Here is a 27,321-nt window from a genome sequence, read left to right on the forward strand (position 1 = left end):
AACAACTCAAGGCCTGAGCCACAGAGGTTTCTTACAAATGTGAGTTTTATTTGCATTCTAACCCAAGCACAGATCCCACATACAGACTTCTCGTCCGCACTATGGTACAGTAACAAGTGCAAAATATGCTTTATTTCAGGTACAAAAACATGGCAGTAGGACAACTTTGAGCTCAACGCCCACCTCCCCAGGACCTCTCACACCCACCTGACCCATCCAAGGGCCACACCACCCCGACAGATACTCCCACCACCTTTAGAAAAGAGTCACCCAATCTGGAGAAAGGTGTGGAGGTTACATCTTTAGAAAGAAATCATTTTAAATACATGAACATTAGAGAACACAGTAACCGTGCTTCCACCCAGCACGGGGAGGCTGCAGAGAGGCACCCCAAACAGTCCCCTTCTCTTCTGTGGTTAACCAAGCAAGCCCCGCAAAGCTTTTCCCAGCAGAGCACACCCAGCCAGCAATGAGGCCTCAGGACAGAGCCAGCACTGTGACAAAAGAACTTGTCCCACCTATCTGAGAGCATGAGATCTGCAAGTGGGATCCGGACTGGACACCAGGAAGCTCAACCTGGCTCGGGCCATCAGTAGCTGTGGGACCCTGGCCCCCATCTAACCTCCCAGTTGACTTCCTGAAAACTGGGCTAGTGGGGGCCTCCCCATTGCTTTAGGGAGGATCGAGTGAGAAGCTGACCAAATGCGCAGAACACAAAGCCTAGCCTGTTAGCCCCAGCTGCTATCACTACTGTTACTCACGAAGAAAGGAACTGCAGTGGCTGCTGTCTGCCCCTGGAGTGAAGACACCAGGGGTGCACAGAGGCTGGACAAGCCACAGGGGGCTGGATGGCCACAGCCGGACCTCGGACCCATCTCCCGTGGGACTCCTTCCATTTGAGGCTGTCCATCCTCCAATGGCAGATGCAGAATTCTCAGGCCCAGGATACCCTTATGGAGGGCCGGGGGGCGGCCCCTCAAAACCACCAAGCTGAGGCCACTGTGAGCAGTCCCCTTTGTAGCAGGAAGAGCAGCTGGACACATGGGAAGAGGCTTGCAGGCTCCAGAGAAGCCAAAAGGTCCTCAGTCCCCAAGGTACTAGGTGGAGGTGAGATCAGGCTGCCCCTCCCAGGACAAGAGTGTGAGCTGGCCAGGAGGCCACTGCTGCCCACCACTGCTCAAAGTCCTTCTCCACGCATCAACCCTGAGGGACCTGGCCAGGGGATGCAGACCAAAGGCCCAGCGGGTCCCCAGGAACAGGAAGCAGGCGGCAAGAAGGAAAGCAAAGGGCTCTGCATTCCCACCACGAGGCGGGGTGGACTCTGCAGGAGCCAGCTGAAGCACCAGAACCTTCCAAGGGGGGCTCGCCAGCCACACAGGACACGAGATGCGTGATAGGCAGGGTTAATGCAGAAACCGCTCATCTGAATGCTTCCCCTGCTTCCAAGCGCAAACCAAGTCATTTTATTCTTTTAAAAAAGCCCTTACTGTCTGAGGCTTTCTTTAAATAATCCAACAGGGATGGAGGTAATGGAGGTCTGGCTCAGTAGTCAGCAGACTTTTTCTGTAACGGGCTAGACGGTAAATATTTTGGGCTTTCAGAGCCAAGAGGCAAAATCAATATTATGTTGGCGTAAGAGCAAACAAATTTCCACAATTTTTAAATTGATAAAATCCAAAATACAATAATTGAGTACATATTTTTGGTAAATACATGTCTACTAAAAATAAGAATTTTTTTTTTTGTGATGGGGGAGAAAACACTTCATTGGGTTCAAAGATAATATTCCCTATCATAAATCAGTGGCATAAACAGCCAGTGGGCCAGGTGGGCCCACCGTATGCTAGCTGACAAGGGCAGTCACACACCGGTAAGTGCTGATACAGGATGAGGGGTGCGGAGCTGAGGATGTTGTTCTCTTTGATGAAGGCCTGAAAACTTCCCCTGGCCCCTGCTGCCCACCTCAGGGCTCCTCAGGACGAAGGGCATGAGGACAGGTTCCCACTCTGGCCCTTCGCTGGGGGACATGGTTTGGTTTCCCCATCGCCAGGCTGGCCAGCTGGGGCCCAAGCACTGACCGTCCTTCCCCACCTTATCCCATCAGCTGCCCTGCACAGGAGCAGAAAACCCATGCCTCAGAGCTACTTCCTAAGGACACTGCCTCTAGAAGGCCCTAAAGTGGCAGAGCCGGGGATGGCAGGTGCAGCCCTGGCCACTAGCACAGCAGTTGCCCTCAGATCTGTTAGCTGTGACCCATAGATTGGGGGAGGGAGGAAAGCCAGGAGGAGCTTTTGCAGAAAGGTCTGGAAGCTAAGTGGGGGTTTCAGGAGCTCTCAGGGTGCCCCTGGGCAGGTCCCAAGGAGGCCTGGGGTGCCTGACCAGCGCCTCACTGGCCCTCAAGCCCTGTCCCTAAGGGGCGATGGGAAGGAGGTGGCAATCAGAAGAGGGTACAAACATTTCCTACCTGCAACCCTGGACCGGTAAGATGACACAGAGCATGCAACCCGAGCGGAAGTGCCTGTGTGAAGCCAGTCATGTGGGAGACCCGCTCTAGAGACCTTGCCCTGCTCTGGGGGCCTTGCCCAGTGCCACTTACACTGTCTAGAAAAGCTAAGGCCACCAGCTTCATCCACTCTCCAGGAGGTCACACAAGATCAAAAGAGGATCATCGAGCTACCGAGGGAGCCTGTTTTCCCCAAATGCGAAGGGAACAGCAGTCATCTCCACACCTTGCCAAGCTGAGGCTGCTTCTGGCTGTGCTCATGGCAAATTCATGGGCAAGGGAAGGAACCCAGGTACACATGTAAACACGCACATGTGCACCAATGACACAGACTGTGCCTGCACTGTGTCTGGCCCCTGGCTGGCAAGGAATATCTGGGAGCCCCCATAAGTTTGCGGAGGAAGTAGTCAGCCCAGTTAGGAGCTAGGGCTGATTCCCAAAGACACGATGGACACAATCTGACCCATGTCAAGAAGCATGCCGCCTTGCACTGCAGGAGCACTGGTGGCACTGTGTACAACCAGGATGGGCACACGTAAAGGTCTCCTGCCTGTTGTGCAATTTTCAAAGATTTTTTATTTTCAAAAAGACAGAGATGGAGTCTCACTACGATGCCCAGGCTGGTCTCGAACTCTTGGCGTCAAGTGATTCTCCCACCTCGGCCTCCCAAAATGCTAGGATTAGAGGCATGGGCCACCACGTCCAGCTTTTTGTACGATTTTGATGGAGGGAAAAATGGGAAAACCCCTCAGATTCATTTCATGGCAGGTTGGTGCCATCTTCAGAGATCACCAAGCCTGTATTTGTAAGAGGAGGAGATAGAGACCCAGAGAGGCAAAGAGACTCATACTGAGCGAGGGTCTGGGATCTAGGACCCTGACTCTGGGTTCTCTGTTCCTCTTCCTACACCCCAGGCAGTGTCAACATCTAATCCCCCACCCCCGCCCAATCATCCACTGCTTTCTCACCCCCTCTGAGCGCCTAGGGACTTTCTCCCTCTGCTCCACTGACAACAGCCTAAGAGGCTTTTCCGTTTATTTCATCGACTTGTTAATGATTTTCAGATCTTCAGTTACTCAGGCCAGCCCCTGAAGCAATGCTGGACTTGGAAACTTGTGACCCTGGCTGGCTCCAGTCCACTGCTGGTAAAGCCTTCCCTAGGTTAATAGCTCTGTGTAAGGGGCTCTGGGCTGTCTGGGCAAGAGGTCACTAGGGCAACACCTGACCTTTGTTTAGGACCCCAAGTCAAAGCCTCGACCTCCCCACCCCATCCTGTCCTTTCCACAGGCATACCATGCCCCTCCTCCAGCAAACCTATTATTCCTCCATTCAACAGCCTCTGTCCCTTCATCCAGAAAGGACAACCTGGTAAACAGGAAAGGGTTTATCTCAACCTTGCAGATACCCCGCAAAAACCGTGACGACCTAAGAGTAAGGAACTCAGCTTTGGGCTTCCAGTTCAAGATGGTGGCCTGAGCACATGTGTCTGTCTTATTTCCCTCTGGGGTTCACTGTAAAAAGAAGCTACAGTTCAGAAGCCACAGGTTGGTGGGAATGCCCTGGGAAGAGCTGTCCTGCTCAATAGGCCAGCACCTCCGGACTCACAGGAAAGACCCTGGACAGCTGTGGGAAGGGCTATGGCTTTTCTGTATGTCAATCAAATGAAAAATAAAACCTGGAGCTTTAGCTCATCTGACCCCTGTGGAAGGGATGAGCTGCTAAATTAGGCAGCTGAGATATTTTGGTACCAAATTACCATGTGTACTTTTTTTTGGTATTTATTATTTTCTATTCTTTCATAAGCTATAAGCTTTAACTACAACCACGAGAAGGTAAGAAGAGCAGATGCCAGGGGCATGCCAGAAAAATGGAAGACTCTACTAATAGCACACTTAAGGTAACAGACTTTTATTACATCTTCTTTTGGAACTTAGAAGACAATATTAGCCTCCTACACTTTTGAGAATTAAAATTTAGCCCACCATCATTTGGCCTTGGTAGTGACATCACTTGGGTACAGTGATGACAGACAGCCTAAGGGGCTGGACCTCAGAAGACTAAAGGTCTAGTCCTGGTCCTTCCACTAATGGGCTATGGTGACCCTGAGCACATTATTCCACTTCTAGGTGATTCAGTTTCCTCATGACTCATAACAGGAAATCATTGGTCTCAACCTTCCTCCAAGGACTAGTGTGTGGAGCTAGAACATGCACCAAGGAAGACTGGGGAACATCAGAGAGAGATAGGACTCAGTACCGTTGACTCAGGTAAAGAGGGAGACAGCAAGAACAGAGTAGAAAGGCAGCATAAAACTGGTGGAACCAAACACAGACTAAGTAAAAAAAAAAAAAAGGTAAGCTTCCCAACGACACCATGTCCCAGGAAAGAAGATCCAGTAAGAAGCAGAGGCCTTTAGCAAGGATGCCAAGACAATTCCGTGGAGAAAGGATATTTTTCTCAATAATCAGCAGTGGGACAAGTGGAGATCCACAAGCAAAAGAATGAAGCTGGACCCCTACATCACATCATATATAAAAATATACTCGAAATGGATCAAAGACCATTGTGAGAACTAAAAGTATAGTTCTTAGAAGAAAACACAGGCATTAATCTTCTTGACCTTGGATTAGGCAATGGTTTTCTAGATATGGCACCAAAAGCACAAGTGACAATAGAAAAAAAATACGTATCTTGGAAATCATCAAAGTTAAAAAGTTTTGTGTCTCAAAGGACACCAACAAGAAACTGAAAACAATCCACAGAAGGGGAGAACATTTTTACCAGTCATATACCTGATAAAAGACTGGCGTCTAGAATATACAAATAGCTCACCCAACTCAATAATAAAAAGAAGGCTCATCCCTGGTAGTCTAGTGGTTAGGAAAACAGAAAACTTAAAAAAAAAAAGACAACTCAATTAAAAATAGGCAAAGGACCTGGATAGACCTTTCTCCAAAGAAATACGCATGGCCCGTAAGCACAGGAAAAGACACTCAGCATCAGTTGCCATCAGGGGAATGCAAATCAAAACCACAAGATAGCATTTCATACTCATTAGGATGCTAAAAGCAAAAAGACAGATAATAGCAAGTGTTGATGAGGATGTAGACAAATTGAAACCTGGATACATTGCTGGTGGGAATGTAAAATGGTACAGCTGCTATAGAAAACAGTCTGGCAGTTTCTCAAAAAGTTAAAACACGGAGTTACTGTAAGACCTAGCAATTCCACTCCTATGTATATTGCTAAAAGAAATGAAAACATATGTCCACACAAAATCTTGTAGAAATATGTTCATAGCAGCATCATTCAGAGTAGCCAAAAAGTAAAAACACACAAATGTCCATCAACTGATGAATCAATAAACAAATGTGGTCTATCTATACAATGAAGTATTATTCAGCAATACAAAAGAATGAAGTACTGATACATCCTCAACTTGGACGGCCCTAGAAAACATTCAGTGGAAGAAGCCAGTCACAAAAGAGATATCACATGATTCCAGATATATGAAATGTCCAGAGTAGGTTAATCTTACATAGAAAGTAGATTCATGGCTGCCTTGGACTGCAGGAGTTAGGAAAGCAGGAGTGACAGACCAAGGGTACGGGGTTTTACTGGGGGTGATGAAAATGTACCAACGTTGACTGTAATTCTGTGAATTGATGGTGGTTCTGTGAATACAATTGGACACTAGCAATGGGTAAACTGAATGGCATGTGAATGACATCTCAATAAAGCTGTTAGTTAACCCACTCCCCGCTTCTCCTCTAAAGAAGGAAGAGGAATCAGGAGCCTGTCCTCACTCTGTTCTGTAGGAATGCCACGGCTATTACCCAACATAATGACTAACAGAGCCCCTTTTATTCCGAGATGTCCTGGTTTATATGATAAATTTATATCGCTACCCTATCACTATGTGCTACCATGCAGGTGACTTTGCCCCTCTGAGCCTTGGTTTCCTCATCTATAAAACAAGTTCTCCCCATTGTAGACCCTGTTTTATTCTGGTAGTCCTTCAGTCTAGCACTTCATTCCACAGAAGCTCCATTTAGAAGCTATGACATCCCATTCAGGTGGTCAGAGGGTTCCCCATGAACCTAAATTAACCAAGAGCTGAAGCCCTGGGCCAGTAGAGATCACTGGATCCCAGGAACCAGAGGCAAGACAAAGACGAATTTCTGAGTCTACCACAGTTACTGACACTCAAATTTCCCGATAGTTAGGCCATTAAGAAAGATGATGCACCCATTCTGATGCAGGCAAAATATCCTAAACATAGCCTCTACAAACAAAGATAAACATGTAAGTGAGGGGCACTCAGAGAAAACACATCGCTCCTGTGGCAAGTTTAGCAGCGGTTCAACAAGGTCTTCTCTAACTTTCTATAAGTCCATCCAAGAGGGCCTGGTATTGTGGTGGTCAAGGTCATCTGATGACACCTAGGAATGGAATACTCATTCCTAATCCTCCTTACCCGTGATTGCCAGGAAATAAAATAGTCTTTTTCTATTACCATCCCCCTAACCTCCCCACAAAGGGCCTCAGAACTAATGTCTCTGAGAAAGGCCGTGCACATACATTGTGGCATCTACCATGCCAATGCGCCAGTGCAGAGACAGGAGCACATCTTTGGGTTCCGCAGCAGCAGATCCTTAGAAACAACGTAGAGAAGAAAGAGGTAGAAGGCACAGAATAGCCCCACTCCCATCAATTCATCCAAGAACAGGAAAGGCGGATGCTCACCAGGGTCACTGAGAAGGGAAGCAAACCTGAAACAGGAGAATGAGGGCAAACTGCTCCCATCAAGTCGGCAGTGCTGGCCATGCAGCCAACTCCCAGAGGAGGAGGTAAAGGTACCAGCTTCCAGGGTGAAGCAGAGCTTTCTCTGGAGGCAGGAGAGTGGTCAGAAGGGACCAATACAGGCAGCACCAAGATACCCAATCAGCTTCCAACTAAGGGATGAGGGATTTCAGAGCAGACGTCTCCACTGTTTGCCCTTTTAGAACGTCAGGGTTGGACCAATAGAAAAGAACAAGGAACCATTCAAAATCTGGAGGCCAAGAGGAAGGGAGAAAGGAGCCACTGGCTTTCTGTACACCGTACTTGGTGTCCACAGGCTTCTGCTGGTTGGTGCTCTGTAGCTTTCACAGACTGGGCAGGGTCCCTCCTGGCCTCAGCTTGCCTGGTGAGGCCACAGCTTACAGTGGGGCAATGTCTACATCCACGGGGATCCACAGGGCTGGGAGCTGGAGACAGGTATGAGGTCCACTGCTGCTCAGAGTCCACATTTCAGGATGATGTGGTAGCCATCATTGCTCTCAGCTGCAAGAGAGAAACACTGGGTGTATTTCACAGGAAAAAAGGTGCAGTGCCACAGTATTGGGGAGTCCCAAAAGGCACGCTGTTAGGGTATCAGCAAAGACCACCAAAATAGGGCTGCATACAGCAAAGCGTGCTGGCAGAAGCAGGGATCTCACATGCCCTGACATCTGCCTCGTTTAGTGTCTTTTTAACAATAGGTCTTTCTACCATAGCCCCAGGCCCAAGGATGAAAACCTACGTTCCAAGGAGGATTTGGACAACTGTGGTTCTCAGGGATATTATGGCCCCCAAGGCCCCAAAGACACTTGGTGGTGGCTGGGCGTGGTGGCTCACGCCTGTAATCCCAGCACTTTGGGAGGCCAAGGCAGGCGGATCTCGAGGTCAGGAGATCAAGACCATCCTGGCTAACACAGTGAAACCCCGTCTCTACTAAAAAAATACAAAAAAATTAGCCGGGCCTGGTGGCGGGCGCCTGTAGTCCCAGCTACTCGGGAGGCTGAGGCAGGAGAATGGTGTGAACCCGGGAGGCGGAGCTTGCAGTGAGCTGAGATCGCGCCATTGCCCTCCAGCCTGGGTGACAGAGCAAGACTCCATCAAAAAAAAAAAAAAAAAGACACTCGGTGGCTAGATCCACGGGACAAGGTGGGAAGTGGCCTCATCATGGTCCAGGGTCTATGAGTCGGTCAGAGGGCTTTTGTTCTGACATATCCTATACATGCACCCCAACCCTTAGGAAGGCCACAGCAGATCTTTCTCTACCTTTTATGAATAAATACATGTTCTTGGCCCACAGGCTCTTCCTCGGCAGAGCACAGGCACACTGTCAGGTGGGCCCCCTCATCCCCCATCCCGACCCACGCTACCTGCAGACTCAGTGGCTGTATTCCAGGCTTGATCTTCCCGGAGGACCCCAGGAAACCCACAATGCTTCTACTCAACACTGAGTTCATAGAAAACAAGTTGCCTGGCCCAGGATTTCCCTTTCAGAAGTGACCCTGGGGGCCAATCTCACTAGTTCTGCCATTTCTAGGGCTAGCTTTCACGGAGAGTTTGTGCTTTCTTTTTCTCAAAGGCTTTTCCCAGGTCAGCACTCTCTGGAAGGGCCCATCCTGCAGGCAGGCCCCACCCTCTCACCTGCCCCCACAACTACCCTAGGGGGAGGGGGAGGCTTCACCTTTAATTGTGCTGAGGACAAAACAGGATTCATCTTGGAAGTTCTGCACCATCTGAGAGACAAAAGAGAGAACATGTTCCTTCAACCACGAGTTCATCATTTGGAAAGCCTCGGTGGCAGAGCCTAGCCATGCGCAGCTGCAGAAACACCACTGCCAAGCCACTGCCACGGTGCCCACACACACAGGAACGCGGTAAACACCACTGCCACGGTGCCCACACACACGGGAACACGGTAAACACCACTGCCACGGTGCCCACACACACGGGAACACGGTAAACACCACTGCCACGGTGCCCACACACAAGGGAACACGGTAAACACCACTGCCACGGTGTCCACACACACGGGAACGTGGTAAACACCACTGCCACGGTGTCTACACACACGGGAACACGGTAAACACCACTGCCACGGTGCCCACACACACGGGAACACGGTAAACACCACTGCCACGGTGTCCATACACACGGGAACGTGGTAAACACCACTGCCACGGTGTCTACACACACGGGAACACGGTAAACACCACTGCCACGGTGTCTACACACACGGGAACACGGTAAACACCACTGCCACGGTGTCTACACACACGGGAATGCGGTAAACACCACTGCCACAGTGTCTACGAATGCAGCAGGAACATGGTTCTGCTACAACATTCACTGAAAAATAAGGACACAGAATCAAGGTGTGACATGATTGCAATTTAAGTAACAGAAACCTGAACATAACCCCAACCATCTAGTATGAATATGAAGGATGGAAAGAGGCCCAAACGGGAATCAAGATGTTACCATTTAATACTGGACCACTGATTTATGTTTGTTTGCACTATTTTTGCTTTTTCCTAGTTACTGATTCTTCCAGTCTCTATAACGGATGCATTACAGGAATGTGTATGTGACTAATGGCAACAGAGAAAAACAACTAAATAAAATGTTTTTAAAAATAGAAACCTTGGTACTTAGTAGGATCTGCACATCAGCGTCCTACAAAGACAAAATATAAAGGAGGGTTCCACTACCTGTGTCTATAAATGTGGCAGGAAACTAACAACTCTGCTCAGGAGCCTCCTCTCTGGAGTTCTAATTTCGATGAACTACCCAGTGACCTTGGACAAGCCAACCTTTTTAACTTCCTGTCTCCATGGCCCTATCTGTAAAACAGGGCTGATTTAATGATAAAAATATAACCAGAATGTAGAGCAACAGGAACTGGTGTCCACTACTGATGGGGATGTAAATCTTCCTAACACTGTTCATGGGACCCAGTAAGAATGACCATGCATTTCCAACAAGGAAATTTTCCTACATTCTCCTACAAGTCATGAGCCCTGGACAAAGTTCTACATCACAAAGACGGGCATGAGGCTGGTTAGCGCAGCACCGTCTGCAGTAACACCAAACTCCTACCAGCCCCGTCAGTCAACAGCAGAAGCATGAACCAGATGTGATGGAATCATGCTCCTCGGCAGTGCCAATGAGCGCCAGCTGTATACTTCAACATGCATGACCTTCCAAACAAAATGTGAAATGAAAGAAATCACAGAAGAATACACTATGATTTCACTCATGGAAAGTTTTTAAATAGCAAAATTAAACAATATATTGAGGAGGAACAAGGGAATGTTTAATAGAAAATTCATACTAGCCAGTTGGCTGTTATGAAATCAGTCCACAAAGGGGCTTCTAATGTAACATTCTGGTAACCTGAGTGCAGGTACATGGGTACTTCAATGGTTCTTTAACTGTATAAGTAAGTTTTACAAATTTTTTCCATATTTATACTGCATTTCACAATTTACATTTAAAGAATATTTTTAAAATATATAAACAGGCCGGGCGCGGTGGCTCACGCCTGTAATCCCAGGACTGTGGGAGGCCAAGGCAGGTGGATCACCTGAGGTCAGGAGTTCCAGAACAACCTGGCCAACATGGTGAAACCCCATCTCTACTAAAAATACAAAATTAGCCGGGCACGGTGGCAGGTGCCTGTAATCCCAGCTACTCAGAAGGCTAAGGCAGGAGAATCGCTTGAATGCAGGAGGCGGAGGTTGCAGTGAGCTGAGATCACATCACTGCACTTCAGCCTGGGTGACAGAGTGAGACTCTGTCTCCAAATAAAATAAAATAAAATAAAATATATAAACATACAATACACACACACACACACACACACACACACACACTAGCTAACACAATAGCAAAACCCCTTTTCAAATTGAAAAAATGCCATCCACATTTTATGGCCTGCTCTGGATTACTGCCTCGAATCTTGCAAATCCATCCACCTGTCGCCCCCGCCCCTCCCACAGGGCCTAATGATGCGTGAAGTACATTTACTCTATTCTGCTGGCCTGCTCCATCTAGCACTCTTGGCAGCCCAGCCACTTGGGCATGCGAAGCCCTACGCAGAGCCCACATGGGCTTAATCAGTAACTCTCTTGTTTAATGAAGTGCCCTTGCACCCCAGGGGCCGGCTCCGCGGCTGGCCAGGCTGCCTCCAGCACTCTGGGCAATTAAGAACCAAAGGTTTCCAATAGATTCGGGGTTAAGAGGCAAGGAGACTTTGGGGAATGAGAATCGCCTACTTAGGCGAGGTGGCATTTGGGTTCTGCTCTCTGCTTCACTTGCTTCACTGCCTACTCTTGAGCACACAGGACAAGCTGAGGAAGGAACTGCCTTCAGGGACCCGTGATATTGCAAGCGTTCCCCACATTTTTGGCTTTTGTCTTCACAAAAGGAAATTCATTTTGGAATGCAAAGTGACAAGCCTTCGGTGACACTACAGCTGTCCACTGCTCACAGCATGTCCACCTTCCTGGCTATTCTAAAGTCAGCTCTCAGGTTAGGAACCTCAGGCTTCATTTTCCTCCTCCGTAAAATAGGAGTTAAAAAAAAAAAAAAATAGCTAGGCCGAGCACAGTGGCTCACACCTGTAATCCCAGCACCTTGAGAGGCCAAGGCAGGTGAACTGCTTGAGCCCAGGAGTTCAAGACCAGCCTGGGCAACATGGCGAAATGTTGTCTCTACAAAAAATTAAAAAAAAAAAATTAGCCAGGCATGGTGGAACATGCCTGTGGTCCCAGCTACTCAGAAGGCTGAGGTAGGAGGATCCCCTGAGCCCAGGAGGTCGAGGCTGCAATAAGTCTAGCTGTGACTGGGCCACTGCACTCCAGCCTGGGTTACAGAGTGAAACCGTGACTCACAAAAAAAAAAAAAAAAAAAAAAAAGCTCGCTTAGATTTGAATGTAATAATATAAACGTAATTCTTAACTGGTGAACTGGTGACAAAAATAGCAAGTTGCAGATAAGATAAATGTATGGCTGCGTGTTTGCTGCATGTTTTAATTTTTTTTTATTTTTATATTTTTGAGATGGAGTCTCGCTCTGTTGCCCCGGCTGGAGTGCAGTGGCACAATCTCAGCTCACTGAAACCTCTGCCTCCAGGGTTCAAGCAATTCTCCTGGCTCAGCCTCCCGAATAGCTGGGATTACAGGCACCCACCATGCCCAACTAATTTTTGTGTTTTTAGTAGAGACAGGGTTTCGTCATGTTGGCCAGGCAGGTCTCGAACTCCTGACCTCAGGTGATCCACCTGCCTCAGCCTCCCAAAGTGCTGGGATTACAGACATGAGCCACCATGCCCGGACTGCATGTTTTAAAAACCCACACCTACATACACTAGGGCACACACAGAGACAAGAGCACAAAAAATTGCCTTGCAGAATCACATCAAACTTAACAGAAACTATTCCAGGAGAAAAGAAGGGGGAGGTAAGCTTTTTTCACATCTACCTTCTGCTGTTCTATGTTGCTTAACTTCTTATACTAATTACAAATTACTTTTTTAATGTGAAAGACAGGGAACATCCATCTTGCTGGCCTCCAGGACTGAGAGGAAGTGCTCGTGAACATTCAAGGGCTCTGGCAGTTTAATGACAAGTGGCAAGAGGATTATTACTAGTAATGTCAACCTGTGAAATACACAAACCCTGAAAAGCCTGACATTTTTATACATCCCCAAAACTAAAAAGATCTCTCCACCACTAGCTCCCCCAAATAACAAGTGCCCTGCAGAATCACAGTCAATGACACCACCCACGACTTGTTTAGTGTCTCCTGGCACCTGCCACTGTTCTCCCACCTTATCTGTACTACAGTCTGACAGGTATATGCATCCCTGTTTTGCAGATGTGGAAACTGTGGCACAGAGAGGTTCAGTAAATTTCCCCCAAAGTCATTCAGCAACTAGGAGGTAGTTTCAGGTGGGGACACCAGTCCAATTCCAAACCCTGCATTTTCTCTACTTCTCCCAGCCACTGTTTCTGTACTCAGTATCACCAGGTCAGGAACACTCTTGGCAGCATCACCAGCAAAGGCAAGGACCAGGGATGGGAAGAAACAAATCGGAGTCTTAATCCACAAATACTGGCCTTGTGTCCTACCACTCCTTTGCTAGTCCAGGGTCAGGTGGGGCTCTATAATCCTCTATACAGAGGCCTTCAGAATTCCCAGAAGGGCTCGGGGTCTGCTGGGGGCTGAACTGGGGGCACACGATCCCATCCCGCTCCCACCAGCACAGTCCTATGTTTTTGTTTGTTTGTTTGCTTTGTTTTGTTTTTGAGATGGAGTTTCGCTTTTGTTGCCCAGGCTGGAGTGCAATGGCATGATCTCAGCTCACTGCAACCTCTGCCTCCCAGGTTCAAGCGATTCTCCTGCCTCAGCCTCCCGAGTACCTGGGATTACAGGCATGCACCACCATGCCCGGCTAATTTTGTATTTTTAGTAGAGACAGGGGTTTCTCCATGTTGGCCAGGCTGATCTCAAACTTCTGACCTCAGGTGATCCGCCCACCTCGGCCTCCCAAAGTGCTGGGATTACAGGTGTGAGCCACCGCACCCAGCCACAGCTCTATGTTTAAAGGCTTCACTTCAGCTGGTGCAGGGGCTCATGCCTGTAATCCCAGCACTTTGGAAGGCCAAGGTGGGTGGATCACTTGAGCCCAGGAGTTTCAGACCAGCCTGGGCAACATGGCAAAACCCTGTCTCTACAAAAAATTAGGCAGGCGTGGTGGTGAGTGCCTGTAGTTCCAGCTACTTAGGAGCCTGAGGTGGGAGGATGGCCTGAGCCTGGGAGGTGGAGGTTGCAGTAAGCTGAGATCACACCAGCCTGAGTGATAGAGCAAGATCTTGTCTCACAACAACAACAACAACCAACAACAACAAAAGGCTGGGCATGGTGGCTCACACCTATAATCTCAGCACTTTGGGAGGCTGAGGCAGGAGGATCACTTGAGCCCAAGAGTTCAAGACCAGCCTGGGCAATGCAGCGAGACCCTGTCTCAATTCTTTTTAATATAAAAATTTTAAAATAAATAAATAAAGGCTTCACTTCAGCAGGGGCTGGGTACCTTACAGGCTCAGAGCTTGGGCCCTGCAGCTCCAATCCCTGGGTTCCCACCATAGCTCCACCCCTTACCCACTGTTCAACCTGGGGCAATTACTCAGCCTCTGTGCCTCAGGCCCGCATCTGTGAAATGGGATAATAATAACACCCACATCATATAGAGGCAGACAGGATTAAATAAGTCGCTATGCATACACTTAAAACAAGTACACACTCCTGTTATTAGGTGGAAGGGGTCCAGGATAGAACAAACTTAAAAGCCTCTGTTCTACATCATGCAAGGAATGCCTAACCCTTTGGCAGGCATATTCAACACCCGCTTCTTAGCCATGAGCGGGTCAGATCCCTGGAGACCACAGTACCTGAGCCCTCTGCCAGTAGCTGCTTGTGCTCTACACTGCCCTGTGCCACCTGGGAAGGCTGTGGCACCTTCACCACTTGGCAGAGGCCTCTGCTCTCCTCTCCCACAAGCCACAGCCTCGCCAACACCTGCCCCGGAGTCCACTTCACCTCTCCCTGGGGACTGTCGCCCACCCTGGGGGAACGCCCCTCTCCTGACCTCCACAGCCCTGACTATAAGCACCTTGGGCCAGAGTGGAGTCTGTCCTCCTGGCTCCCACCGGGCACCCAGCCCAGGAGGGGTAAGGAGTGCCTACTTGGCATGGCAGCCATTTGGACCCAGACGGGGCCTCAGCACTCTCCATCGCAGCCCCGGACAGCCACAGCTGCAGGTGGTGTGCAGATGAACCTGTCTGTCACTCCCAAACCCAAGTGTGTTTCTGGGGCAGGGGTTCTGACACTCCTCCCGTGGCCCAGAGCCCGTTGTCGGGGCAGGCCAGGCAGCAGCCCTCACCTCGTTGCTCACCACCACATGGATGCCCGTGGGGCCCTGCCGGTAGACTCGGTGGATGTGCTGGGGGGAGATGCTGTACAGGTTGGCGATCTTCTCAATCAGCTCCAAGGTGGTCAGCTCTTCCAGGAAGATGGCGTGGTACACTGGGGGAAGGAGGAGCAAGTGCTGCTTTCCAAGTGGCCATTCTGTCAGTGTGAGCCTCCCACCCGCCCTGAGAAAGCAGTAAGTCCTTTGTCAAAATGCCACACCCAGGGCGGCGGGGCAGGACCACACTGCCACTCTTTTTGTTTTGTTTTGTTTTGTTTTGTTTTGTTTTGTTTTGTTTTGTTTTGTGATGGAGTCTCGCTCTGTCGCCTAAGCTGGAGTGCAGCAGCGTGATCTCGGCTCACTGCAACCTCCATCTCCTAGATTCAAGTGATTCTCCTGCCTCAGCCTCCCCAGTAGCTGGGATTACAGGTGTGCACCACCACACCTGGCTAATTTTTGTATTTTTAGTAGAAATGGGGTTTCACCATGTTGGCCAGGCTGGTCTCAAACTCCTGACCTCAGGTGATCCGCTCGCCTCAGCCTCCCAAAGTGCTGGGATTACAGGGATGAGCCACTGCACCCAGCCAGGCTGCCACTCTTGATTCCTCTCGGTCTCTCTTGGGGTGCTTATGTGAAATGCAGAGATCCCTAGACCCATCCCCAGCCCAGTGACACCCAGATGGGCTGAAGGGAGTATCAGGCAATTCTGACATGCAGCCAGATGTGAACCCACATCAGAAGGAAGCAACAAATTCTGTCCCTTTTCAGCTCTTTTTGCTGTTTAAAGGGTTCTTGGATAGCTGGAGGGCAATGAGTGAAAGTTAAAAGGAACTATTACTTGACAACAGAAAGGAGAAGGCCTGGTCTTTCCCCTGCCCGCAACACAAACCATACTCAGCCTCAACACAGTAACCCTAAGGAGAGAAGAGAGCACCAGGAGGGCACCATGGTGTCAGCAAGTGGGAAGAAAACAGTGACACTGACACAGAGACGGCCTGCACCAGCCAGGCAGGAGCAAATGCCACCGGCAACCCAGGGTGGGTTACTCAACTTCAAGGGACCTCAAGTTCCTCAAAAGCAAATGCAATTGGATTAAATTCAAGATTCTTAAGCCTTTCCCTCACCTGAGAAACCCTTGGTTCAACAAACCTCATCAGAGGCCCAATATTTTAAAAGCACACACAGGTGGGTGTGGCAGCTCATGCCTATAATCCCAGCACTCTGCGTGGCCAAGGCAGGCGGATTTCTGGAGTCCAGGAGTTTCAGACCAGCCTGGGCAACAGAATGAGACTCCATCTCTACAAAAACATACAAGAATTAGCCAGGTGTGGGGGTGTGCACTTTTCTTTTTTTTTCCTGAGACAGAGTCTCACTTTGTCACCCAGGCTGGAGTGCAGTGGCATGATCTCGGCTCACTGCAACCTCCACCTCCCTCCGCCTCCCGGGTTCAAATGATTCTCCTGCCTCAGCTGGGATTACAGGTGTGACCATGCATGGCTAATTTTTGTATGTTTTCTTTAGTAGAGATGGGGTTACTCCTGACCTCAAGTGATCTGCCCGCCTTGGCCTCCCAAAGTGCTGGGATTACAGGCATGAGCCACGGCGCCCAGCCTACTTTTTCAATATTTAGAGATTTGGTCTTGGTATATTCCCCAGGCTGGCCTTGAACTCCTGGGCACAAGCAATCCTCCCACCTCCCCAGGTGCTGGAATTACAGGTATGAACCACCACACCCAGCCACAATTTTGCTCCTAAAACAAACCAAGCTGCCAGCAAAAAGAATTAGCAGGATCCCAGGCTGACGCCTTTCACCATGGCCACTGGGAGTGCTCGGTGGGAGCAGGAAGGCTGACAGCCACGCCTCTGAGGTCCTCGAGAGTCTCCTCTCATCAGGAGCTGCATCAGGAGCAGTTTGAGGAAACAAAAAGCTCCAGGGTGGGCATTCCTGCCTCCAATCCTGACTGCCACTGACTGGAAGCAAGATCTGGGACAATCCCAACACCTTCCCAAGCCTCGGGGTGTGCACTAAGGCAGCACCCACACTGCGGGGCCGCCACGAGGTCAGACCATGCACCATGCAAGGAGCATGCACTAGGCTGCCCTTTCCACGTGTGGGCATGTGGGAGCCCAGGACTGTCCTGCACATTCACTGGAAATGAACAGAGGCCAGACTGCGGGCTTGAAAGCCAGGCTGCGGGACCCAATGTGTGGGTCCCAGCTCTGCTCCCCACAACTCACCAGACAGGTTGCTGTCTCCACTGCCGTCCCGCTTCTGCTGCAGGGGCACTCGATTCTGCTCCAGCTCCTGACAGACATAAATGGTCATCTTTGGCCTCACATTCCTGGCAGGAGAAGAGAAAATAAATAATAGGTGTGGTGGACCAGGCGCAGTTGTTTCAGAATATTCCAGGATGGAAACAATAGTGGGCAGAACTCAGGGAGGAAGAAAGACAGCGGTGGTGACGTGGAGTGCCTGTCATGGGGTGGTGGATGACCCTCCCAGGTCCCGCAGCCTGCCAAGGGGCACTCTGCCCCAGACCATGAAGCTCAACATACAAGACGTTTTCAGGCAACAATTAGAGCAAACACTGTCTGTGGCTTGCTGTGTATCAGGTATTGTTCTCAGAACATGCGTAACTCATTTCATCCTCACAAAACTTGCAAGGGAGCTAGGACTATCGCTCTCATTCCACAGTTGAGCAAACTGAGGCTCGGAGGGCAAAGGGCTTTCCCTTCACTGCACAGCACCTAAGAGGCAGATCTGGGACTCAAACCCAGGCTCTCACTCTAAAACCATGCTGTCCATGTGTGGCTATTAAAACTTAAATTCACTAAAGTTAAATAAAAATTTCGTCCATCACATCAGCCTCGGTCCAAGTGCTCCACAGCCACATGTGGCCAGCACGGCTGCAGAACGTCTCTGCCATGGCAGGAAGGTGTGCAGGACGGCGCTGCTCTGGAGTCTCCCCTGAAACTGCTGCATGATACCATCTGACCAGCCCCAAGTCCACAGCTCCCCTCAGCGGGGGAGCAGCTCCGAGCCCAGGACCACACAAGCATCTGAGAACATGGGCAAGTGGCTCAGAGGCCGAGATCCAGAGGCCAAGGCTCTCGTCCAACCAAGAAGAGGGAGGGGCCTCCAGGCAGGGTCTGCGGCAGCTGGCCACATCTCCCACTGCAGTGTCTCACTCCCCTGCTGTGGCCCGTGCCCCTCTTGCCACATTTCCTCCTACACTTGACCCCACACTGCAGGAGTCCTGTCCCCCCAGCCAGACCACCCACCATCCAAAAGGCTGAGGTAGGGGTTTCCCACCACATGCCACGGGACATGAGCCTCTGGCTGGCTTCACAGAGAAACCAACACCTACCGGCCTTTGATGGCGTTGAAGAGCCGGATCCCATCTGCGGGACCACAGATCTGGACCAAATCATCTCGGGACATCTTCAGCAAGTCAGCACCTAGGCAGGAAAAAAACGGGGATGCCTGTTACATGGAACCCAGAGAAAGGGCTCGGTCCCCAACCAGCTGCAGACCCCATAGCACTGGGGGTGGGGGGTGGGGAAGAGCCAGCTGCACTATCTCACAGAGAGAAAATGGCAAAATGCTCAACAACATCAAAAGATTGCAGCCCAGGAAGTGCCAGTGCTCACAACAGTGAGTACAACAGAAGCCAATAGGTCCCCACTGCCTCATTGCCTGCCCTGCTTGCTTTCTTTCTTTCTTTTTTTTTTTTTTTTTTTTTTTAAGAGACAAGGTCTCAATATATTGCCTAGCCTGGCTGGTCTTGAACTCCTGGGCTCAAGCAATCCACCTACCTCAGCCTCTCAAAGTACTGGGATTACAGACATGAGTCACTGCATCTGGCCTCTTCTCTTTTTTTTTTGACATATAATCTGTATGCATAGATGTCATCAGCACAGGGCACTGGCCATGTGTGCATCTGTCTGTATGTGGAAGTATACAGCTCGCTGGATGCTGACAATCTGAATACACCCCAGGACCCAGCACTCAGAGCCAGCAGTGAAACATTGCCAGCCTCCTGTAGGCCCCTCGTACCAGCCACCACCCCTACTCCCACCCAGGGGAGCCACTATCCTGACTTGCTACAGTGCAGACACGTTTTGCATGTTCTCTGAAGTTTCTGTACATGGAATTGAACGGTAGGCACTCTTCCTGGTCTGGCTTCCCTCCCCGCAAGTCATGTTTCACGGTGCATTTGTGTGGAATGTAGTCAGAGTGTTCATGCCCGTTATTACCTATCATTGTGTGACTACACCACAATTCACATACCCACTTTATGTGGATGGGCGCTGGGGGGGCTTCAGGTCTGGGCTGTTATGAATAGGCTCTCTGAACGTTCTCATACATGTCTTTGTTCATTACACAAGGTGCGTGTCTGCCGGGTCTAGCCCCGGAGAGGGCTGCGGGATCACAGGGTGTGTTTGGCTCTAGCAGATACTGCCAGCAGTTTCCCAGAGTGTTGCATCTATGTATGGTCCCACCAGCAGCATGTGAGGACGGGCCCACAGTTAAAGGAACATAGGAAGGTGACCGTCTCATGGGGACAGAAGTGAGCACAGCGTGAGGGCTGCCCCTTCCTCAAAGCCCAAGGGGTCCCCGAGAGCCTGGTCCCACACACTCTCCAAGGTACTAGTATATCAGCCTCAGGTGAAAGCCTGCCCAAGGCCACAATTCCCACTCCTCTCCTCTCATCACAATAAGATACGGTTTTAGGTACAATTCTATAGACACAATGGCTTCCTTTCCACTGGGAGTAAAAGCCGAAGTCCTTCCACTGTTCTTCCAGGGCCCCCATCCTGTCCGTGTCCCTTGGTGCCTCTCTGACCTCTCCTCCCCGGGCCACTCCACTCCACTCCACCTGGGTCCCCTGCTCTGTGACCACATAAGGCAGGTGCCCACATGGTGGCTGACTGCCCTACTTAAGACACAGCCGGCACTCCTCCCCCACCTCCACCCAGTCCAGTGCAGGGTCCTCTCTGAACCCCCACTCCAATCACACAAGTCACGCTGCACCGAAATGAGTGGTTTATGCATCTGTACTGACTTACAGCTACAAGCTCCCAAGGACAGGGACCCTCCCCCAACAGGCTCTCAGCAATGCCGAGCTGAGGATGTGCGGGCGTCGTTTCTCTTCCACTGCCACAGGTGTCTGTGGCATCCGCTCCTCTAGTTGTGGCCAAGCCTTTACTCTGTCACTGTGGATGAACTCTACTTGGTGACAAGGCTCACTGCTCAGTTCACCTTTGCACTCCACAATACCTAGCTTGGGACTTCTGTCTGAGGGCCCATCAGGAAGGGCTCTGACACTTTCTAAAGAAGGAAGAGCCCCCTTTCTGTCTCACCTGTGGCCTCACCTCCAGCTCCCAGGTCGTGGCTCTGGAGCCAATGTGAGGAGCAGTATTTGGGTAGGAAAAGCATAAGGGGCCCTGCATCACCCTGCCGGGCTAAGGGGACTCTTCCTGGACAGACCAGAGCCCACCAACCCCCCGCAGGTGAGGAGATCTTGACCAAGTCACCCAGATGGTCCCCCTCAAGTCACACTCACTTGGGACCTTCTGGGGGCAGCATCACCTATGTCCAGCACTTGGCCCAGGGTTGGGGCACGTGAGCGAGCGAACCCACACTATCTCGGGTCTCCCAGCTGAAACGACAGCGCTGCCAGTGTTGACAGCAAGGCCTGGAAGGTGGCCAGCCTTGAAGTGTCTCCAAGATACTCATGGGCTTTAAACACAGTTCGGAGATGCTCACCTGAGAAGCTGGCAAAGAGCCGGCAGAACTGCGAGAACCTGTTGCGGTGAAGCCACTGCTGGGCATCCTGGATCGAAGCTGATGGGAGCAGGTGCTGTGAGCAGAGGGGAGAGGCCTTGAGATGGTGGCTCAGGGCCCACGAGGGACCACCAGCCAGAAAGCCCTGCTCAGACACTTACGTCACTGCCCACGGGCAGGGCCTCCACCGGGTGGGTCGGAGAGGCGTTGCTGCAAGGAAAAGGAACCAGTGATGAGGACAGAGGGGGCTCCCAGGGCAATGGCCACGGTCCCGGCACCCAGCCTGGCACTTTTACTTCCTATCAGATGCAGGATTTGTTCTAAGTGAAATGAGTCCTCAAGAATTTCCTGAGTCACAGAAACACAGCAGGAGCCAATGTCCAATCCCTCAAAATCCCTAACTGAGCCTTCATTGTAGACAGCAAGTTCTGATAGGCTACACTGCCCCAGTCAATGACACTCCTCTACCCTGAGTCACCGGCAACACATCCCAGGCCCCTGCTGGCTGACCCCTGCTGGTCTTGAACTTGGAGATTCAAAGCCCCAGCCCCAGGGAAAGGCACGCTGACCAAGGGCACCCAGAGCCTTGGCACCTGAAGGCTACCACCAAACTCAAGGGTCCTCCACCAAACCCTTTGTCAGGTGGTGAGGGGAGAGGGCATAAGAATCCCACGGGGAGTTATTTTGCAGTGAACAAGCACCCGCAGCTTGACATCCATCCACGAGGAAAAGCACTGTTCTGTTCTCTCCCGAGAGGGGGTGCACAAGCTTCCTCGGGGGCCAGGTTGGGGATGAGGCACAGACCTGAGCGCTCTCCAGGTGGACGGCGGTGAACGCTGCACAACAGTGTGAATGTACTTAATGCCACCAGACTGCACACTTAAAAATGGTAAATTTTGTGTTATGTATATTTCTCCATAATGGGAAAAAGAGACCCTCGCAGGGCTGATCCCCAGACCGGTCATCAGTGAAGACAGCCGCCACTTCTCGCCAAGTGTCTACAGGGTGCAAGCATCGTACACTTGTTCCTCCCGACCCTGTGTAGAATTCTTAACCCCCTTTTGTAGTAGAGAAACTGAGTCTCAGGGAGGTTAAGGGAGTTACCCCCAAAAAGGTACAGATTGAAGACTAGGTCTGCCTGAATCTAAACATGACACCATTTCTGTGTCTACCCCCGCTTCCCTGGGGACTCCTTGGTAAAATCAAGTTCACAGACAATCTCGCTTTCTTATTAGAAAAGTTCTGTCTGCCAAGCATGGGCTCTGACGAACCTGCAAGCAGAAAACAGGCAGCCTCCCACCCACTCTCCTGCCTCCACCCCTGCTGCCAGCACAGGGCATGCAGAGCCATCACGGTGACCCATGGCCCCGTGCTGTGCAGCCCACAACACTCAGGAGAGTGACTGTCCTGTCACAGCATCCTCAGGGTCCATGTGGCCTGTGTGTCTGCAGAGCTGTGTGGGACAGCAATGAAGCCAGTTTCTGTGTTGTAAGGCCTGAAACCCAAGGCAGAGAGGACCCTAGCCAGACCCTCTCACCCCCACACTCAGTGACCATGCTGGACAAAGAACCAGGAAAGGCCCCCCAGACAGCTGCTCCCTAAGGCACCACTGTCAGGAGGGCCATTCTGCCCCAGAGGGCACCAGAGGCTGTCTTGGGTGGCTGACCGCATGCACCCTCAAGCCAGTCCTGGTTTCACCAGGTAAGTTCTGGGCCGCTGTCCCACCCGACAACGTTTACAGGGGTGTTTCTGAGCACTAAAAGTTGTGTAAATGCTGAAGACAGTTGTGACTGCAACACGAGTTAGCTACCCTGAAACCCAAACAGAAAGGAGAGGAGACCCAGAAAGGAAGACTAAGAAAGGAAAGTACACCTGCCTTCATTTCAGGGAACCCGAAGAAAGAGAGGTGGGACGTACCCTTCGCCGAGGCCAAAGCTGTTTGGAGAACCATTGTAGCTTGGGGACGGGGCGCTGTTCACCTGGTAGGCCACGTCGGGCCATGGAGAGCACTGCAGGAGAGAGCACAGGGCGAGCTGGGATCTGGAGAGGCGCTGAGCCGTGCTCCCCAGGTCCTCCCAAGCAGGCATGCACTGACACCAATGCATGAGACCCCCACCTGTGAAACGCAGCCTGCGTTTACCCAGTGCCCACAGTGAGCCACGGCAAGGCAGGTTACGAGGGCCACATGAAGGAAACCAGCAGAAATGTTCAGTAAGTCACCCCTGGAGCAAGTGAAGTACCCAAGGGGTCTCTCTGGGCTTCCTAGCAGTAAAACCAGAGGGGAAACATCACAGTCATGTGATTCTTGGGTCCACGAGAGAGAAAAAACGAAACCAGCCAGTTGTTCACAAACAGCTTTTCCTGGGAGAGACAAATTCGTGTAAATGTCTGTTATAGGGAGTACTGGACCACAGGCAACTTCCAAACAAAAAAATAAGCAGTAAGAGTCAGTATTAAAACCTGTGCTATTTGAAAAAAGAATCTGCTGACAGGGGCGGAGGCTCTTGCACAATCACCAAAAGCAGCTCCTCTCGGTGAAATTTGATGGTGTTCATTCCATTTCAGGCATTCTGCTGGGGGCTAAGGGAGATCCACAAACATGAAAGATGTGATCCTTGCCCTCGAAAACATTCTACTATGGAAGCCAAACACAAATGCATGTGGAGTCTCCCAAAGGAAGCAAGGGTTTACAGGTTTTGTCTGCTGGAGAAAGTCTATCCAGCTGAAAAAGTTCATCTCTTCCCTTCCCTGCGATGATGCCTCTTCAGAGAGGGCCAATTTGAAGCATTCCCGAAGATTTACTATCACCCACCAAACTATAGTGTTGGTAAATATTTAAGTATTGTGAGTGTGGGCTCGAATTTGTTGGTGCTAAATCCTACAGCCCAAGGAGGAAAGCTGAACAGCTGATAGAAGTGGCAGCCGGTGCCTCCCAGGGTGGGCTTTCAACTACGCTGCACTGTGGCAAGGGCTTGGACAGACCTGGCATGTGGCTCACCAGGACCTCTCTTCCCAGGGGCAGTCAGCAGAGGAGCAGAGAGGTTGAGGCTGTTAGGGAGAGAATGGTATCAGGAGGTGGGGAACACTCTGGGCAGTGGCACCAGCACAGGCATGAACCAGGTACGGGAAGAAACTGGTCTGGCCTCTAATCCATAAATGCAGTGCTTGCATCCTGCCACTCCTTTGCGGGCCGTGGGGGAGGCAGGTGACTGACCTTCAGTCAGATAAAATGCCAGTGCACATCTATCTGACCACAAAATTAGCTTTTACACTGTCTTCTTGCAAATACCCTCCTGCATGTCCACACACATACACACATACAGCTGCTCGTCAGCCAAGACCGGGCCACTGTTCTCTTAGACGCCTCAAGCCTCACCCCTAACAGCCTTAATCCCACCACGGCCGGCAGGGGCCTTACCACATGGAGGGCCTTCTGAGGAAGTCCAATTATTCAATGAACAAACACCACCACCAATCAGTCAGCCTGACTGCAGAACACAGTGGGAAAGAGTTGCACAAAAATTCCCTGTAAAAAAGGAGGCACTAGCTGCAACTCGTAAAGGGAAGAGGAGGTTAGGTGCAGTGGCTCACGCCTGTAATCCCAGCACTTTGGGAGGCCGAGGTGGGCAGATCACTTGAGGTCAGGAGTTCAAGACCAGCCTGGCCAACATGGTGAAACCCCGTCTCTACTAAAAATACAAAAAAATGTGCTGGGCATGATGGCACATGCCTGTAATCCCAGGTACTGGGGGAGGCCGAGGCAGGAGAATCCCTTGAACCCAGGAGATGAAGGTTGCAGTGAGCCAAGACTGCACCACTGCACTCCAGCCTAGGCAACAGAGCGAGACTCAGTCTCAAAAAACAAACAAAAAAAAAAGGGAAGAGGAAGAGCGAGCTCCTCAGGAGTTCCCATGGACATATGGAGGGTTGGAGCAGGCTGGCATTGCTGTCAGGGTTAACAGAAAATGCAACCAGACAGCAAAATAACAAGTGCTGACACCCTCCAACCCCAGAGATCCCACTGAGAATGGAAACCTGCCAATTGCTTCCCATGTGCAGACCTTCACATGCACAGTTATTCACTGCACCACTGTCTGAAACTCCAAGAGCCCAGAAACAACCCCGCATCCACCAACAGGCCATCACACATGATGCCATGCAGCTGGGTAAGGAACTAGAAAGCTGTAGGCATCAGGCACCAAGATAAGCTAATAATGGAAAAAAGCAAGTTGTGTCTATGTACACTGTTGGTATATAAATGCAGGCATGGGGCAAACGTGTCTACACTGGCTTCACCTGCAGACAAAGTTGGGCCAGATACAGAAGGTTTCTGCCCTGGAGGGGAGAAACCATGAAGCTGGGATGGCACTGGGAGGGATATTTTCTGTTGTACACTCTCTTGTACCTTTTGAATTCAAAACCATGTGAATACATTACCTACTCAAAAAAAAAAAAAAAAAAAAAAAAAGGGAACCTAATTTGGGAAAGCACAAATGCATTCAAAGGGAGCAGAGCTGGAAGTTATTTCTGAAATACCTCCCGGGCCACTGGGTCTTATCAGATGAACACGAGCTCCAGACACTGGAACCCACCACAACAGAATAAGCACTCTCAGAAGTAGTCACCCGAGATGGGCGATTTTCCAAGAATCTAAACCAGCAGCCCTGCTCCTGGTGGAAGACCCTTGGAGGCTCTGTCCCCGCACCCAGCCGGCTCACCTCTGTGAGGATGGTGGTTTCATAGGACGGCTGGTATTTCTCCTTCTCTTGGGCAGTTCTTTTCTCCATCTTCTCCCGGTCAGTCTTCTGTTTCCGATCGGCTCCCTTCGGCTGCGAGCAGAGTACAGAGTCCAATCAGCCCAAAACCAACACAGGCAGCAGCCCCCAAGCCCTCTCCTGCTTCCCACCTCACCCAGGGCCCCAGGGCGCAGGGAGGAACTCAGGGGCAGGACAGCACCTATCTCCCCTCCCATTCTGCCTGAATGCTTCCCCACCTGAGGAACTCGGAACCTGCCACGGGTCATGCACTCTGCTGCTCAAGGGGAAAAGATTGTTTCCCATGGCCACTCGCTTATGAAAAGGAAGCTTGGGGACCCACAAGGAATCCCAGTGCATTCCTTGGGTTACCCAGGGAGAGCAGAGGAAAGTGGAAGAAGTACAGGCTGCTGGTCTGGATTTAGTCTGTGCTTGCAACCTGAGAAATCCTGGCCATAAGCTGAAGGCCTCCTTACCCCCAACTCTCAGGACTCCCGCTAAGCCCCAGCTTACACTCTGTCTGCAGGGGAACGTCTCCATCCAGAGAGAGAGCCTGACAATCATGGGTGCTTTGCAAACCGGGGCAACTTTCAAAGGGTGTACAGGCTTCACAGCTATTATTATTCCCTTCATTTACAGAGTGGGAAACTGAGGCTCAAGGGGTTCATCAGGATGGGAGAGGATCCAAGTGAGAGTGGCCAAGTGTGCTGCATCGCAGGCTGGCCCTGCAGGTACCACCATGGGGCGCCTTCTCGACCTTGCTATGTAGTCTCCTGAGCATGTGCATCTTATGACCTCATGCCTACTTGGCGAAGTCAGATGTAAAGACTCCGAGCAGCGCTAGAACCGAGCAGTTTTACTACCCACACAGCAGGCTACATGTGGTGGGCAGGTAATGAAAACAGTAGTTCAAGCTCAACGGCACCTTGAGGGATTTTCATTCCAGGGGGCACCTTTCTCAGGCTACAGCTTTCGGCTCCCAGATCAAGGGTTTTTAGGGAGCATCTCTTACAGCAGTGGTCCTCAACCTCTGGGCCACAGACCGGTACCGGTCCCATGCCCTGTTAGGAACTGGGCCCCACAACAGAAGGTGAGCAGCAGGTGAGTGAGCGAAGCTTCATCTTCATCTTACTGTGAAGTAAATACTTCACAGTATTTACAGCTGCTCCCTACTGCTCACATTACCGTCTAAGCTCTGCCTCCCGTGTCAGACCAGTGGCGGATTTAGATCCTCATAAGAGGGCAAAACCTTTTGTGAATTGCACATGCAAGGGATCCAGGCTGCGTGCTCCTTATAAGAATCTAATGCCTGATGATGGGTGACTGTCCTCCCCCCGCCACCTCTATATGAGACCATCTAGTTGCAGGAAAACAAGCTCAGGGCTCCCATTGACTCTGCATTATGATGAGTTGTATAATTATTTCATTATATATTACGATATAATAATAACAGAAATAAAGTGCACAACAAATGTAATGCACTGAA

At 50.7% G+C, this 27,321-nt stretch overlaps 1 protein-coding gene across 7 annotated transcripts in view, besides 1 other annotated feature; it reads right to left on the bottom strand.

The window, feature by feature from the left end:
* Positions 1 to 27: 27 nt before the first annotated feature.
* TFCP2L1 (transcription factor CP2 like 1) overlaps positions 28 to 27,321 on the bottom strand; it is a 68,616-nt gene continuing 41,322 nt past the window's right edge. For 3 of the 7 annotated variants that reach the window (NM_014553.3, XM_047444020.1, XM_047444021.1), the window contains exons 7-15: positions 25,800 to 25,910; positions 22,999 to 23,090; positions 21,243 to 21,291; positions 21,064 to 21,157; positions 18,662 to 18,752; positions 17,532 to 17,635; positions 15,267 to 15,409; positions 9,003 to 9,054; positions 28 to 7,828 (exon numbers count right to left, since the gene is read on the bottom strand). In NM_014553.3, the coding sequence (NP_055368.1) occupies positions 7,782 to 7,828; positions 9,003 to 9,054; positions 15,267 to 15,409; positions 17,532 to 17,635; positions 18,662 to 18,752; positions 21,064 to 21,157; positions 21,243 to 21,291; positions 22,999 to 23,090; positions 25,800 to 25,910 (783 nt within the window). In that variant the 3' untranslated portion in view covers positions 28 to 7,781. The other 4 variants (XM_017003903.1, XM_017003902.2, XM_017003905.2 and 1 more) reach the window with 4 other exon arrangements.
* Positions 710 to 1,211: an enhancer, noted in NCBI's record as "H3K4me1 hESC enhancer chr2:121974845-121975346 (GRCh37/hg19 assembly coordinates)". NCBI's record gives its function as "activates a minimal SCP1, AML or CMV promoter by ChIP-STARR-seq in primed H9 embryonic stem cells {active_cell/tissue: H9 hESC(primed)}" and the evidence as "EXISTENCE:reporter gene assay evidence [ECO:0000049][PMID:30033119]".

Source organism: Homo sapiens, chromosome 2 (genome assembly GCF_000001405.40).
Source record: "Homo sapiens chromosome 2, GRCh38.p14 Primary Assembly".
Taxonomy (NCBI): Eukaryota; Metazoa; Chordata; class Mammalia; order Primates; family Hominidae; genus Homo; species Homo sapiens.